Source organism: Homo sapiens, chromosome 3 (genome assembly GCF_000001405.40).
Source record: "Homo sapiens chromosome 3, GRCh38.p14 Primary Assembly".
In the NCBI taxonomy this organism is placed as follows: domain Eukaryota; kingdom Metazoa; phylum Chordata; class Mammalia; order Primates; family Hominidae; genus Homo; species Homo sapiens.
Window position 1 is genome coordinate 72,662,859 of NC_000003.12, and position 17,195 is coordinate 72,680,053.

Genomic DNA, 17,195 nt, shown 5'->3' on the forward strand with positions numbered 1-17,195 from the left:
GGGCCTATGGATTGGTTCCTGGTGAGGAGTTTACTTTTGATACAGTCAGTAGTGGGAGATGGGGGGATGGAGTTAGGTGGCATAGACATGACGGCTTAGACATACCTCCTCCTTCCATTAGGTGGTGAGGGACTAGACTCTCAGAGGTCGGACAGGGCCTTGGCAGGCACCCCAAATATATCCACCATAAACAACCCCCAACCCAATTCAGATTTCACAAGTTCCCTCTGAAGCATCATTACAGAGTTCTTGAAATCTAATCTATTCCAGAACATTCCCAGATGGACCAAAAAAGAACTGACACATTTTTGTATCCTCCCTTTCTCCCAGAATCAAAATTTTCAGTATTATTTTGAAACTAGCTATCCAGAAATCCCATTTTTCAGAGCAAAGTCTTTTGTGGTTAATTAAATAATTAACTCCCATTTATCTTTTCAACAAGTCTCGGTTTTCATAGAGCGGGCTTCTTTAATGTGGGGTACACCCATATGGGTGTTTCTGGGGCAACAGTGTGTCACAGAACAAGCCAATTAAGTACAGGCGAGTTAATGGCCTTGTCCAGGTTAATAGTGAAGCCAAGCGCCTGTTGCTGAGTCTTCAACTCTTCGTTAGCTCAAATCCCAGTTGTAACTTTCCACTAGGGCTGTGAGTTGTGACTTTCCTTAATCCACCAGATAGAAGCAGAGCAACAGCAGAGGCTGTAAATACTCTGTCAGGGCATGAAGAATAACAACAATAAGGCATTCATATTAGGAGAGGAGATTCATTCATCACGGTTTGTTTACCCTCTCAACAACCCAGAAGAGTTGGTGTCACTGTCTCTGGGGAAGCAGCTGGCATAAGGAAATCAAATTGCGGTGAAAAGAATGTGAGCTTTGCAGTCATATGAGCCTCATTTCAAATCCTGACCAAGGCCTTTACTTCTCTGATAAAACAAATCTGTATGGCAGCTCTGATTGGTCAGCCCCCATACCTTAACCCTAATTAAAGAGTTTGAATATCACCCCTGCTTCTCTGGTACTCAACCTTTCTTCCAAAAAAGGGGATAGGGGTGGTGATAATACTACCCACCTCATGGCATGATTGTGAAGGTTACATGAGGTCATGTGTGTGAAAGGACCCTCTCTCTAGTAGGTGCTCTTTATGCTCACTCCTTTCCTAATGTAACTGACTTTTTCCAGGTTTGGGATGATCTTCTAAGGTTTCTCAAATGATTGTCATGACTGATGAATTCAACACAAAGAGAGCTGATGAGGAAAGCCAGGCTTTCTTCACTCTCCTGAGAAAAAAATTCCCTCTTGGGTAAGACCTGCCATCAGGCTGAGATCCCATCCTTCTTTCCAGATCCTTCTTCCATGGTGGCAGAGGCTTCTTGTTGCTAATATTGGTCTTCCCCTAATTCTATAGAAACAGAATTCCTAAGTTTAAACAGAACCTTATGGCTACTGAGACAGAGAGAGACCACATTCTACATTTCCCAACATCCCTTGCAGCCAGACATGACCATGTGACTAAGTCCCCACCAATGGGATGTGAGAGGACATGAACTGTGCAATGACCAGATCTGACCCTTAAAATGATTAAGCTTCTCTTTCTCCTTTCCTATTGGCTGGAATGTGGACAAGAAGTTGGGGAGCCAGTTTTGACCCCCGTGGAGGAAGACAACACTCTGAGCAACAAGATAGAAGAAACCTAGTCCCTGGACAGCCTCATATAGCAGAAATGTCCTGAACCACCCACCAACCTCCAGATTGTTACATGAGAAAGAAACACACTTCTGTCTGGTTACCACCACTGTACTTGGGGGTCCCTTTATTACATCAATGCAGTCTACTCCTGACTAAAACATTCACTTTCCTTTATCAAAATTCATCTTCAGATCTTGTCTGGAGCAAGAACGGTCTGGAGCCAAGATCAGCCTTCAGAGTAGATTGGATTTCATCATCTCGCTGCCTGTAAGCCAGATTCAGTCCACAGACATGCTTTGGTTGGCTCCTATAGTGCATTTTTAAAAATTTGAATTCATTGTCAACATTTACATGTTGAGAAATTTCACATAAAAATCTAAAGGACTAGCTTTTCTTGAGAAAGCTGAAGGTCTGACCACCCTAGGTCCACATCTTCCTTGGTGAAATTCAGCGGATGCTACATTGTCCCTTTAGATGGAGTGAGCGTGCTTCAGCTCACCATCATCAGTGCCTATGGCAAATGCTATTGGGTCCTGGGATCTTGCCATTTGGAGGTCTGATGGCCTGACTTCCAATCCCCAAGGCCTGTAGTCTTTCGCCTGAGGACTTGCCTGCTTGGCACACACGCATTGTAGACCAGAGACACTGGAAAAATTAAAGCATCCTCAGCAACCCCAATGAATGACTGGTGGGAGCTGATGGAGAAATACCCATTTCACAGATGGGCAGCTGAAGGGCACCTTTGACGCTGGCCTCTGGAGTCTGTGTCACAGTTGCCCACAGTGGTTTAACTCACCATAACTCACACCCTTTATTGACTGGCTGCCATTTCCTGGATCACCTTCCAAATCAACTGCTTATATTCAAATCCTGCCCTCGAGGAACCTAAGTCTCAGAGCCTGCCCTAGGGAACCTTAAGTCACCAGTCCCTTTGGTTTTCCACCAAATATTAGCATTTATCATCAGCTGTGCTGTTATTTTTTTTTCTTCTGGTAGAGAAATATTTATATTTCTCATTTAAATACAGCATGTTAGCTGTATTTAATATTTATTAAAAATGAATAGAAAACGAAAAGATAGACTCAAAGGACAATGTGCTTCAGGAAAAAAAAAATAGGTGAGAGTATATCTCTTTGTGCAAGTAAAGAATATTCCTGCATATTTAACATCCAAATACTGGTCTGCTGAGTGCGCTGATGTTATCGGCCTAACCCGTGGGCATCTGTGTTTGTGATTCCTGGTGTTCAGCTCTGAAAGCTCTTGTTAAAACTCAGAAGTCATTACCCCCTGATTTTGAATGAGGTTCTGAGATTAGCGAGATGGCCATCTGGCAGCACGCTGAGAGAAAAAGTGGGAAGACACATACGTTTCAGTTGGAGGGAGGAAGGACCAAAGGAAATCTTATCACTGGGGCCAGGCCAGGGAGCTCAAGGTGGCATCAGAGGAGGGGGCCTCAAGGGAGGTGAGAGCAGAAACCTGATCTTTCTGTGATCTTGTGAAAGTCCCTTCCCCCATAGTGTCTGCAGGGCTTTGGCGGGTACACACCCTCCATTAGAGCATAGCTCTCCTTCTATTGACACAATAGAAGGTGCGTCTATTGTGCGTCTTCTAGGTGCGTCTCTCCTGGCTATGCAAGAATACCTGGAGGGCAGAAGCTATACCTTATTCTACTTTTTACACCCAATGGCTGGCAGAGAGCTCGCCACATAGTAGATGCCCAATAAAGGTTTGTCTTGAATTTTTGCTGGCCAGTGTGACCCTAGAGTGAGCCAATCAGAATTACTATGTAAGCCAGGGGGCGCTGTGGTTCAGTGTTCATTTCTCAACTGGGGCGCTGAAAAGTTTTTTTTGGCTGTATGCTGCAGTGATTAATATTGCACTAGCTGGCACCATGTCACTTAGGAGACAGTGGCATGGGATCTTCGAAAAACTAGCTATCTCTTACCTGGTTTGCAATCAGCCCATATAAGAATGGGGGCTCTGGAATCAGCCTGCCTAGGTTCAAATCCCAATTTCCTTACTTACTAGCTGTGTGCCCTTGGACAAGTCATTTAACCTCTCTGTGCCGCCATTAAAAAAATGAGAATCTAATGAGCTAGTGCATGTAAAGTATTTTGCACCATACCTGCACAGAAAAAGTGCTTAAAGCATGTTAGCTTTTTTTTTTTTTTTTTCCTGAGACAGGGTCTCACTCTGTCGCCCAGACTGGAGTGCAGTGGTGCAATCTCGGCTCACTGCAACCTCCACCTCCAATCAAGCTATTCTCCTGCCTCAGCCTCCCGAGTAGCTGGGATTACAGGCACATGCCACTACCACCTGGCTAATTTTTGTATCTTTAGTAGAGACAGGGTTTCACCATGTTGGCCAGGCTGGTCTTGAACCCCTAATCTCAAATGATCCACCCGCCTCCTAGGCCTCCCAAAGTGCTGGGATTACAGATGTGAGCCACCGTGCTCAGCCAGCATGTTAGCTATTTTGGCTTTGGTTGGAAACAACAGGATCCTGATAAAAAGAAAGCCAGAGTAGAAAAGAATCTAGAAAGATATGCACCAAAATATTAATCAATTATATGACAGTGATCATTTTTTATTGTTTCTTTTCTGCTTATTTGTGATTGCTGATTTGGTTTTCTTTACAATAAAGTTATATGACCTCTATAAGCTTACTCTAAGAGTAATAAAGAAGAGAAGGAAAGCTGGACTGCAGTGGGTTTTCTGTGCCATTCCCCACTAGCACTGCAAGGAAATTGTAGAATCTAGGCTCCCCTGAAAACGCCACACAAACCAGCTTTGCCTGTGCCTTCTGGAATTCCCACACCAAGAAGCTTCCATTCTGTCTCTGATATGGTTTAGCTGTGTCCCCACCCAAATTCGTCTTGAATCTTAGCTCCCATAATCTCCACATGTCATGGGAGGGACATGGTGGGAGGTAACTGAATCATGGGGGTGGCTTTTTCCTCTGCTGTTCTCAAGATAGTGAATAAGTCTCATGAGATGTGATGGTTTTATAAAGGGCAGTTCCCCTGCACACGCTCTCTTGCCTGTCGCCATGTAAGATGTGCCTTTGCTCTTCCTTCACTTTCCACCATGATTGTGAGGACCCCCCAGCCATGTGGAACTGTGAGTCCATTAAACCTCTTTTTCTTTATAAATTACCCAGTCTCGGGTATTTCTTCATTGCAGCATGAAAATGGACTAATATAGCCTTCACATCAACAGAGAAAGGGAACTTGAACATAAGTTTTCTGTGTTCTTGGTGGCCTGTGGGGTCCCAAGGATTCACATTGCAAGGCCATTTGGCATCCACACTCCACACAAAGCAAGTTCATCAGTTCCGTCCAATACCTTCCTCATGGCCAGCCACAGGGTAGATTCAGGCTGCTCTTGGCCCCAACACCTCTCTCTTGGGGTTCACAGTATAGTAAGGAGCTGGCACAGGCACTTCTGTTAGCAGGTAGGAGGTATGCATTCATTCATTCATTTGGTGACTATTTAATGAGACTTTTATGTGCCAGCCCCTGAATGAGGAATGGGGCTATTGCGAGGCTCTAGTGGGCTAATGCTCAGCCATCAGCTACAGGATCACATGTGGGTGGGCTTCTGCTGCCCTTCAGGTCCATGCTCTGCCCTTCTCCACCCTGCTTTGTGCCCAGAAGTCTGACTGGCGAGCGCTATGTTAACGTGCCTTCTTGCCTCTGGCATCCTGTTGGTTGGACCAGTTGAACAGCCCTGGCAGGAAAGTGGAGGGAGGGAGAAGGTTGAGGCTGGGGTACTTATCCCCCTGGTACCTTCCCTGACTTCTGCTGGACCTGTCCCTCCACCAGAAGTCACTGATCGTCTCACAGCAGCCTTCCGTATGGGACCCATCCTCCCATTTCTAGTATCTGCTCCCTCCTGCTGTCCCCTCCTGGCCTAGAAACATGGCTACTGTGGGAGACTGCACCTTCCCTACTCTTCCCCCACACCAGGCTCCTTTGTAAATCAGCCCTCCTGGAAGTATCCTTATATGAGGGGGCATTGGTCTCAGTTGGGACACTCCCCAATGGTTACTATTTACCCCCATTCTACAGATGAGGAAACTGAGGCTCAAAAAGGTACCTCACCCAAGGACACTCGGGAGGAGAGGAGGCAGCACTGGAACCCAGGAGGGCTCGATCAGTGTGATGAGCAAATTGTTCAAGGCCTGGAGGGGTCCCTTTGGGATCTGGGACTTGATCCCTCCTCAGGTGCCTTTCCTGTCTTGGTGCTCCTCCTCTTGCTTGGAAGGGACTGTGGGAAGGATGAGGGTTTGCCAGGAGAGTATCAGGGAGCAATACTGGCTCTTATGAGGGGCTCACATATTACCTGGGCTTTTCTCACCATCAGAGTAAAACCAAGTTCACAGCCAAGCTTAGGCGCCTGCCCAGGGCCAAAAGTCACAAGGTTCATCTGTCTGCTTTGGGTCCGAGGCCAGCCTAGTCTGGGAACTCTCCCTCGGGGACCTCGTGGGGCTGAGAGAGGCCAAACGTCTTCCTCCCATGGATCCCCCTCCCCACTTCGTGGGTTTAACTTTGTCCAGGTCCTCCCCACTATTCAGGAATGCAATCTGAAAAACCAATTCAAACTAGGACTCATGGTATTCACCCATTCCCCCCACACCCACACAAGTGAGTGCACATACACACAATCAATCACACGACTCTGCATTTTAAGCAAGATCCTATTGCAATGCTTAACCCAAAACAATAGTGGGATTTCAGGCACTAGGTAAGCAAGAGATTCTTCCAATCTTACCACAAACGTGTGAATGACCACTCCACCTACTCCAAACCATGGTGACTTTAAGAATGAAAGGGAGCAATGTGAATAATGAAGTCCAGACAGCTGGAGTAAAAGGGACTGTCCCAGGCAAACCATGACATGGAGTCCCTCTGCCTATGGGTGACAGGAAGTTGAAGATGACTTTTCCTTTAGTCCTAGCATTGTGGCCTAAGCCCCAAGCTAGACATTAGGCACAAAGAGCCCACATGCTCCAAAGCACAGTTTCTGATCTTTTCTTGTGCCATGAATCCTGTTGGTATCAGTGAAGCAATCGATCCCTTTTCAAACTAATGGTTTTAAATGCACAAAACAAAATACATAGGATTGCAGAGAACTCACGATACAGCTGTCAAAATATTAAACAAATTTATGGGCCGGGCGCGGTGGCTCACGCCTGTAATCCCAGCACTTTGGGAGGCTGAGGCGGGCGGATCACGAGGTCAGGAGATCGAGACCATCTGGCTAATATGGTGAAACCCTGTCTCTACCAAAAATACAAAAAAAAATTAGCCGGGCGTGGTGGCGGCGCCTGTAGTCCCAGCTACTCAGGAGGCTGAGGCAGGAGAATGGCGTGAACCCGGGAGGCGGAGCTTGAAGTGAGCCGAAATCGCGTCACTGCACTCCAGCCTGGGCGACAGCGAGACTCCGTCTCAAAAAACAACAACAAAAAAACCCAAAAAAACCCCCACAAATTTATGATATAGTAATACTCTTGTTTCTTCTTTATTAATACATTAAATAACAAGATCTAGCAATGAGTCTAATTACTACTGTAATTTTTACATAGAGATGAGTGTAAAATGTTACTTTTAAATATCTGTGACAACTGTAGTGTGATTTCTGATTGTGAAGGGTAACAAAGTCATAGGCACTACTAATACTATGGGGGGGTTGGTGTTTACATTTTGAACAGAAAGAAATGTCAGCTTTTACCTAGAGATGAACAAATATAAAAAATAAATCTTCCCATCCAAGCTTACAGACCCCAGGCAAAAACAAAAACCCCATTCCTAAAGGGAGCCACTAAGAGGCCATGAGTTCATCATCTAGGCTTGTGTGTGTGCACGCGCATGTGTAGAGATGGGGTCTCTCCATCTTGACCAGGCTGGTCTCAAACTTCTGGGCTCAAGCCAGCCTCCCACCTCAGCCTTGTAAAGCGCGGGGATTACAGGCATGAACCACTGCACCTGGCCCACCCAGGCATATTAAGAGGTGCCCAAATTGGCCCAACCACGATCACTTACTTCCCCCCCTCCAACTTTTATTAACAGACTCAGGGATGGAACAGGGTTGGTACTGCTGGTGGGAACTGCTTCTCTTTCCTCCAGTTAAGAGAGGAGAGTAGCTTGTAGAGATTGGGGGTGCTTGCAAGGGAAGCCAGGCATTTCATTCCTGGTTGGACTCCCATGAGAAACAGGATTTTCAAATCCATTCCAGAAAAAGCAGGAGAGAATTGGAGTCTGTGAGGCAGAAAAAGGTTGCAGTCAACCTATGAAATCCACCCAGGATGTTAAGGGACAAGACAGGGGAGATAGATCAATTGGAGGAAAATAATCTAATTCATCTCATCATCTTCAGAATCATCAATACATAAAGTGTGACTTGCATTACAGTTGCATCCAGGACACCACCCAAATGCAGTTATGGACCAAGGAAGTCATGGGGAGACCCATTCCCTCCTATGATCTGAGAGCACCAGCACCTTCCCTCTCAGCAGCCTGATGACCAGAGACAGAACTTACAGAACTGCCTGGTTAGACCTCGCTTTCTTTTTGGGGACTTGACAGTCCTTCTGGTAGGGGTGCCAACTGACTGGAGTCTGCCCCAAAGACAGCAGAAAGCCTTAATAATTGGATGCTTAAACAGAAGACAAAGAAATGTATGCTCAGGGAGTCTGCACCCCAAGTGACAATCCCAAACTCAAGGAGTCCTATGCGTGTGACCAGCCACAGCAGACATCTGCGTGCACCAGATCACATCCTCATGGCCACCTGATTTCACTGAAGCTCTGATGGAGAGTTTGGCAGACATTTCCAGAATCCCACCTCAAGCACACTTGCAGAGGTTTTCCCCAAAGCAGGGAAAAGCCACTTAGTTGATGGGCACAGGTAGAAGCGCAAGGATGTTCATTTTCCCAGGGACAACACCTCAACATTAAGGGAGTGAGAGTCAGTGGATAAATGCCCCAGCCTCTCCTCCCCACAAAAGGACAATGCAAAGGCACATTCTACATCTATGATGCCTTGCAAGTTACCCAGCGGCTAAGCAGTAAAATAAGGCATGGTTAGCAGCCTTTCTCTCTTCCCTCTCTCCTTCTCCCTCACTCTTGCTTTCTGGGTAGCTTTCCAGATAAACAATTGCACCCAACCCTTGTCTCAGGGCCAGCTTTTGGAGGCATCCCAGTTAAGGCTGTGGTTCACCACATAGCTGAATACATCAGGCTTCCTTAAAGGGTCCCCAGAACCCATGGCTTCATTGGCAAGAAGCTGGAAGCCCGCAGGAAAAACGTTGGAGAGTGGAGATGGAGAAGAATCATGAAAGGCGAGGTAAACCATTGTGAAATTATAAAATTCAGTAGGTTGAAAAAGAACAGAAACCTGGCCGAGGAATCACTGGAAGAGCACACATTGAAAAATGTGCCTAGACAGTTGAGAATCTGTCAACTGACAGGAGAGGGCTTTGTGAAGAAAACGAACCAGAGCGCGATGTCAAGCAGACAGATTGGTCCAGTTAAGGACAGGGGAGGCTGGGGAGGCAGAGTGAGTTATGAAGCCCTGGCTTTGGCTTGTGGGCGGTCTAGAAGAGCCATTCCCAGCAGGGATGAGACACCGAGTCCCAGAGGACAAAGAGGAGGGAAAGGACCTTCCAAAGGCTACTGATACTGCTGCCTGCACCTGCGAGGTGTTTTGCGCCACAGGCAAGCTCAGCGTTCCCTAAATGTGCAGTCTGCAGGACACTGATTCTGTAAGGTTCTCTGGATAAAAAGCGGATGGGGTGAGTATGGGTGGGGGGAAGCCCCCTCTTGGAGAGTCATTCATTCAACAAGTGCTCATGGAGTACCTAATCTATTCTAGGCATGGTGCTGGGCACCAGGATCATAGCAGGACACCAGACAGACAGTTCTGCCCCAGGAACATTGCAGACTCTGGGGGAAACAAGGATTAAACAAGAAACACGGTATTAGCTAAAACTCACTGCATGGAGGGCAAGAGTTTACATGTACTACCCGATTGAATCCTCAGAACAAACCTCAAGGTAGGAACTTCACAATCATTATTTTAGAGATGAGAACACAGAGGCCGGCACGGTGGCTCACACCTGTAATCCCAACACTTTGGGAGGCCGAGGTGGATGGATCACTGGAGATCAGGAGTCGAGACCAGCCTGGCCAGCATGGCGAAACCCCATCTCTACTAAAAATACAAAAAAAAAAAAAATTAGCTGGGCGTGGTGGTGGGTGCCTGTAATCTCAGATACTCAGGATACTGAAGCAGGACAAATGCTTGAACCCGGGAGGCAGAGGTTGCAGTGAGCCAAGATCTCGCCACTTCACTCCAGCCTGGGTGACAGAGTGAGATTCTGTGGAAAAGAAAGGGGAGGGGAGGAGAGGTGACAGGATGGGAGGGGATGGGAGGAAAGGGGGAAAGAAGGAAAGAGAGAAAGAGAAAGAAAGAAGAAAGGAAGGAAGGAAGGGAGGGAGGAAGGAAGGAAGGAAGGAAGGAAAAGAAAGGAAAGAAAGAGGGAGGAAATACAGAGGCTCCGAAAAGTCAGGTGACTTAGCCAAGGACAAAACTGCAGTATGTGGTGGAGCCATGACCTGAACCCAGGCAGTTTGGCTCCCATGTCTGCATTCTGACCTGCTACACATTTTTATCAAAGGATCTGACAGGTCCTGCAGGCAGGACCTGCTGCATAATTTGCAGCACCCAATGCAAAGTGAAAATGTACCACCCTGGCTGGCAGTGGGGAAGTCGTTTTCCTCTTCTCATGGGCACCTCAAATCACAGCATACAGACAATCCCCAAGGGGTTGCAACTTCCTCAGTACCGGGGTTAGAGGTAGGTGAGAGGTCCCCACTGAGTTGCCTGCTAAATGTGCAGAGGTGCTGTCAGCTCCACACTGGAATAGCTGCCACCTTGCCCTGACCTGAGACACTGTGCATCGGGCACTGGATCCCAGCCCTCTCCTTACCTACACACAGGCCCCTGAGCGGGGCAGAGGATGACAACAAATGGGGCCTCCTCTCAGGCCAATGGGCCTTGAGCACCATGGTTTGGGGCCCTGGGTGGTATGGTCTCAGGGCACAGCCAGCCAGTGGAGGCCGGTGAAGGGGAGCAGGCCGCTGAGAACCCACCCTAGGGAGCAGTGGGGCAGGGGGCTACATGTGAGTCAAGACCCCAAGCCACTGACACACATTTCATTGTCCCATCAGACTTCACTTAAAAAACACAACTTCAAGGATAAAATTACTAAGAATATCTTGTCTAGGCTGGGCTCTGTGGCTCACACCTGTAATCCCAACACTTTGGGAGGCCAAGGCAGGCAGATCACTTGAGGTTAGGAGTTTGAGACCAGCCTGGCCAACATGTGAAACCCCGTCTCTACTAAAAATACAAAAATTATCTGGGCATGGTGCCAGGCACCTGTAGTCCCAGCTCCTTGGGTGGCTGGGGTGGGAGAATTGCTTGAGCCCAGGAGGCAGAGGTTGCAGTGAGCCCAGATTGCACCACTGCACTCCAGCCTGGGCGACAGAGTGAAGACGCGATCTCTAAATAAATAAATAAAAATATCTTGTCTAACATTGCCACTGCCTGAAATAAAAAGAAAAAAAAGTATTAAGAATTTCAGCGGGGCATGGTGGCTCATGCCTGTAATCCCAGCTGAGGCGGGTGGATGACTTGAACCCAGGAGTCTGAGGCCAGCCCAAGCAACATGGCGAAACCGTATTTCTACCAAAAATACAAAATATTAGCCGGGCATGGTAGTGCATGTCTGTGGTCCCAGCTGCTTGGGAGGCTGAGGCAGGGGATCGCCTGAGCCCGAGAGATGGAAGCTGCAGTGTGCCAAGATCAAGCCACTGTACTCCAGCCTTGGCAACAGAGCAAGACCCTTTCTCCAAAAATAAATAAGTAAATAAATTAATAAAACATTTTCAAGACAGCAACTGCAAAGCATTAAACTCCAAATGCAGGCCCTTCTGAGCACGGGGCCCTGTGCAGATGCACTGGGCCCTCATCCAAGAAGCTGGACCCACCTGTGGCCAGGGAAGGCAAGTGAAGGTTGGACTTCATTTAACACAATTCTCCACGTTCACTTCAGCACAGGACCCCTTTTGGGGTGAACAGTCCATGGTGCTATCATCCCAGGTACCACTCTTTTAGAAACGCTACATCATCTCATTCAAACCTCATCATAGCCCTGCAAGTCAGGAAAGTCCATGGTTATCATCACTTTTCCCAGAGGGAGAAACTTAGGCACAGAGAAGAATGTGTTTCACTTGAAATACGACAGTGGTTAAGAGACAAAGACATCTCTCAAACCCAGGCATCCAATGCTCTTTCTCCTCAATATACCAGCCTTCCCAACCCTCCAAGATGCTTTTACACATCCCTTATTGACAAAAAAAGGAGCCCTCAGGAGAGGGCTGTAATTCTGGCAGGTTTCCAAGCTGCAGCTACTATTTATTAGTAAATCTCCAGATGTGCCAGGAAATTACAGACCAGCAAATTAGTTTCATCATTTCACTAGTTTATTTAAGGAGTTATTTGCAAGCTCTGCTAAAAGCTCTTTCCAGCAAAAGTTGTAGGAAGAGTGGTTTTTTTTTGTTTTTTTTGTGCCTCGGTGATGCTATGTTATCCTGAGCATCCAAAGGACTCCTCAGGGAAGAGAAGTCCCACCAGACTAAGAAGAAACTGCTAACTTTAATGATACTTAATGATAACCACTGCCCCTCATAAGTGCAGTGGCCATCCTCCAAGATGGCCCCGAGTGATTCCTGGGCCTCCTGGGATCATGCCCTTGTGCAACCTCCTCCCACACTGAATGGGGCCCATCTGTGCAATCAGTAGGATATTGCAAAAATAACAGAGTGTGACTCCTCAGATTAGGTCATAAAAAACATGGCAGTTTCTATCTTCCTCTCTCTTAGGTAACTCACTGGGAGGGTAGGGGGGTGAGTGGGAAGCTAGCTGCCATATTGTAAGGACACTCAACAGTCCTATGGAGAAGTTCCCATGTCAAGTACCTGAAGTCTTCTTCCAATAGCCATGAGTGCTCTATTTTGGAAGTGAATCTTCCAGCCCCTATTGAGCCTTCAGATGACCTCAGCCCTGGCCAATGTCATGACTTAAGCCTCATGAGAGACCTTGAGCCAGAACTACTCAACTAAGCTTTTCTGAATTCCGGACCAATAGAAGGTTTGAAATAATAGATCTCTGTTGTTGTAAGTCACCAAGTTTTGGGCTAATTTATTATACAGCAGTAGATAGCTGTTACATTTTGTTAAAAAAAAAAAAAGTTAGTGGGAAATCCACTGGATTGGGAGGGGACTGGTCTTCTGGAATTAGATCTAAACATAGTCACGTCTTTCAGGTCACTCTCTAGTGGCTAACACTGTCACTTCAAGAGAGTCTCAGGGGACACTGGAGTCACGATTAATTTTTTTTTTTTTTTGAGACAGAGTCTTGCTCTGTCACCCAGGCTGGAATACAGTGGCACTATCTCAGCTCACTGCAACCTCTGCCTCCCCAGTTCAAGCAATTCTCCTGCCTCAGCCTCCCAAATAGCTGGGATTACAGGCTCCCCCAACCACACCCAGATAATTATTGTATTTTTAGTAGAGACACGGTTTAGCCATGTTGGCCAGGGTAGTCTCGAACTCCTGACCTCAAGTGATCCGCCTGCCATGGCCTCCCAAAGTGTTAGGATTATAGGCATAAGCCACTGAGCCTGGCCTGGAGTCACAAATTTTGGAGGGAGATGAGGAGGCAGAGAAGGAGAACTCAAGTCATTGTCTAAGGCTTTCAAATAGGAAAGCATCATGGTGGTGGCTAACAGCCTTTTGTGGGGCAACATGAGGCCACACCCCAGGGATGAGAAGCAGCCCATACTTTAGCGATGCATTCTATAGCTATGAATTATCACCAATACAGTAACAATAGTGACTACTGAGCACTCTGCATGCCTAGATTTCATACTGACTTTCAGTGCTTTACTGCCATTAACCCAATGACTTGATGCATCAGGCAGAGCACATCTGTTGTGGGTGACAAACCCCAACTCAAACTGGCTTATGCCAAAATGGGCATTTATGGGTTCCTTAACTGAGAGATTCAAGGGAGTATTCTTGGCTTCAGGAACCACTAAATCCAGGGTCTCAAACAAAGTTTCTCAAACGGGATTCTCTCTCCCTCTCTGTCTCCCTCTCCTCCCCCATCCCCACCAATCTCCCTGTTTCTTTCTTTTTTTTTATTTCCAGGAAAATTGGATACCAGTAGCTCAAGTCTGTGCTCTTACAACTCATAATATAAAAGCAAGATACGCTGTCTTCCAACAGCCCCATGTCATATCTCATGGAGGGACTCTGATTAGGCCACTCCCTTAAATCAGTTTCTGTGGACAGGGACATGGGGCACAATGATTTTCTGGGACTAGATCACATGCTCACTCCCTTCACCCAATAGGGATTGGGGGAACAGGGGTTGCCAGTCCCACCAGACACACATGGGATGGTCATATCCTAATTGAAAAAGGGATGACCAGCAGAGAGAAATAACCCAGATTCATTAGTGTTAATATCCCCATTTTATAGAAAAGGTAATTGAGATTAGAGAAACTGCAAACCCGCCCAAGATCTCCTAACAAAGTCAAATATGTCTGTCTCCAGTTCAAAGGTCTCATCAGTACTCAGTGATGCTTCTTCCACCTGCTAATCTCATAGGATCCTCTAACCCACGCAGGAAGTTTATAGGCAGGATTATCTCCCTTTCCAAAAGCCAGAACAATAACCTGGCACCCTCAATCCAGACCCTGGCACCAATGCCACATCTGACCCAGCACACCCAGGTCACCCAAGGAGCCTCCCGTCCCGACCCAGATTGCAGCAAGAGCCAGGCTGGAGCTTAGGAATGCAGCACTGATTATCCCCACTCACCTCCACTGGCAGGTGAAACTCTGCCATGGCATTCCTTTGCTTTTGGAGTGAAGACCCAAACTCTTACCTAGGGTAAAGGTCCTGAACATCTGGCCCCCGTTCACCCGCTGGCCTCTTCTTCTCCATTCTCTGTCCCAGTAACACTGTTCTTACATTCCATGAAGGTGCTTTGCTTCCTCTCACCCCAGGACCTTTGCATATTCTGTTCCTTCTGCTTGGAATGCTCTTTCCTCTGATCTTCACCTAGAAAACTCACCCTTCAAGCCAGGGGCAGTGGCTCATGCCTGTAATCCTAACACATTAGGAGGCTGAGGCAGGCAGATCACTTGAGGTCAAGAGTTCAAGACCAGCCTGGCCAATATAGTCAAACCCCATTTCTTCTAAAAATACACAAATCAGCCATGCATGGTGGAAGGTGCCTGTAGTCTCAGCTACTTGGGAGACTGAGGTGGGAGAATCGCTTGAACCCGAGAGGCGAAGGTTGCAGTGAGACGAGAACACGCCACTGCACTCCAACCTGGGGGACAGAACGAGATTTCATCCCGCCTCACCCCTCAAAAAAAAGAAAAGCAAACTCATCCTTCAAATCAGCTCCTTGAGGAACCCTCCACACCTCCATAGTCGGGGTCAGTGTCTCTGTAGACCATCGTGGAAACTCAAAGCATTTGCTGAGGTTATGAGAATACATTTACGTGGAATTATCTGGTGAAAACATGTGTCTCCCAATAGATGTAAGATCATCAGAGCAAGGATCATACCCATGTTTCTAGTCACCATTCCTAGCAGTTAGCCCAGGGCCTGCCCCAGAAAAAACCCTCAAAAAACATTTATTAAACAAATGAAAGGAAGAGAGAGAGGGAAGGAAGACGGAGAGAGGGAGAGAGGAGTTTTCTGTGCCTCAATTAAAGATTCCATGTAGTAAACCACAAGCATTTCAAAGATGTTGATTGACCTCTTAAACTAGAATGAACATGAAGAAAATAAAACCATTACAAGCATTAGAGGATTTATTGGCTAAGCCTGGCTGCTTTTCGTATTATTCCCTATGTTTTCCTTTTACTGGAACCACAGGACCAAAGTCCAGGGCATGGGGGGAGACAGGAAGCGACAGAAACGGAAAAAATAAAGGAAGGAAAGAGAGAAGGAAAGACAGACAGGAAGAATAAAATAGAGGGAAGAGGGTGGATGGAGGATAGGAAGAAGAGTTCAAGAAGGGTGGGAGGAACCCACCTAAGCCTGATAATTCTCAATGAGGATGGAAAGTAAATAATGCAGGGTCATTCTGCAAGCCCACACTGAAATACACAAACCCCACTACGCCCAGGAGCTGGCATGGTATGGGCCCATGACAGGCCATTAAATGGAAGCTAGACAGAAAATATGATCCATGGAATTAAAGGCCTTAGAAGGAGGCTTGCTCTGAAGCAAAAAGAAGGAAACAAAGATCAGGGCTGACATAGGGAGGGAGTAGAAAGAGTGCGGAATGTGTCACGCCCTTCCTCTGCCAGGAGACCTCTGTCTTCCCCTGTGGCTATGATGACAATATGAAGGGATGTTTATTGCTAACACAGCAAAATGTGGTCCAGTGGCCAGGAGTTTCCCTGGCATGATTCATTCATGTTCTGAGCAAATGAACAAGAGTTTGCATTGTTGGAGGGGTTGTGGCACACATAAGGTAGTGGGGCGAAAGTGTGGAGATGTGGCCGCTCGTGTCAGCAGTCGCTGGAGGCAGGTACAGATGCTGCACACTGATGGAGTCCCTGCAAAATCCCCACCTCTCAACTCAGGTTCTGGGAGCCCTGGGGAAACACAATGTGGACCTTGGTTTTACTGTAAAGAATAGCAAGCATGTGTATTCTCTTGGGAAGGGCAGACGGCCTCAGGCCAGCATCTCAGATGCTGCTTTTTAAGCAAGGAGGAGTTTACAAAAAGATAGGAATACAAGCAAAAACAATAGGAAGGATGACTGCAAAAAGGAGGGAGAATTGCTAAGGTAGCAACTTGGGGGATGAGATGCCTGGTGAAATGTCTGAGGGGAAATCAAGTAAACCTCCTCCACCAACTCCACTCCTATGCCCCCATCCCTAGGCAGTTTGTTCCTGCTGGGACCATTCGTTCAGTGCTAGAACTCACAAAACCCTTTCTGACAGGCAAACATAGATAATTTACTGACTCATGTAATTGAAAAGCCCAAGGATTAAATGGTATCAGGCATGGCTGGATCCAGGAGCTCATGAAGTGCTATCAAGACTGTTTTTCTCCCTCTGTCTCTTGGATCTGTTTCTGTCTCTGCTGGCAGGATGTCTCCAGTCCTAATAGGGGTGGTGGCAGCCATCCCTGCCTAAGGGGTGCTTCTCTTTCTCAATAGTTTCCAAAAAATCTCAGGCCTGAGTCTTATTGGCCACGGTTGGGACACGTGCCATCCCCAGAGCCAGGGATAAGGAGTGAGTCCCAGCCAGATCGAGGTGTTAATAGCCAAATGATGACAAATGGCTATTGTACAGACAAAAACAACAGATGTAACCACAGAAGCTGTGTGGATAGCCACAAGATAAT

At 47.0% G+C, this 17,195-nt stretch overlaps 2 long non-coding RNA genes across 2 annotated transcripts in view; both read right to left on the minus strand.

Moving 5' to 3' along the window:
- The window catches only part of LOC105377161 (uncharacterized), a 134,312-nt gene that overhangs the window by 80,729 nt on the left and 36,388 nt on the right, over window positions 1-17,195 (minus strand). The gene's annotated exons all lie outside the window — the stretch shown is intronic.
- LOC105377162 (uncharacterized) lies at window positions 438-1,391 on the minus strand. The gene is made up of 2 exons (NR_135531.1): window positions 1,072-1,391; window positions 438-709 (listed from the first exon to the last, which is right to left on the minus strand). It is a non-coding gene; the product is annotated as an uncharacterized LOC105377162 (long non-coding RNA).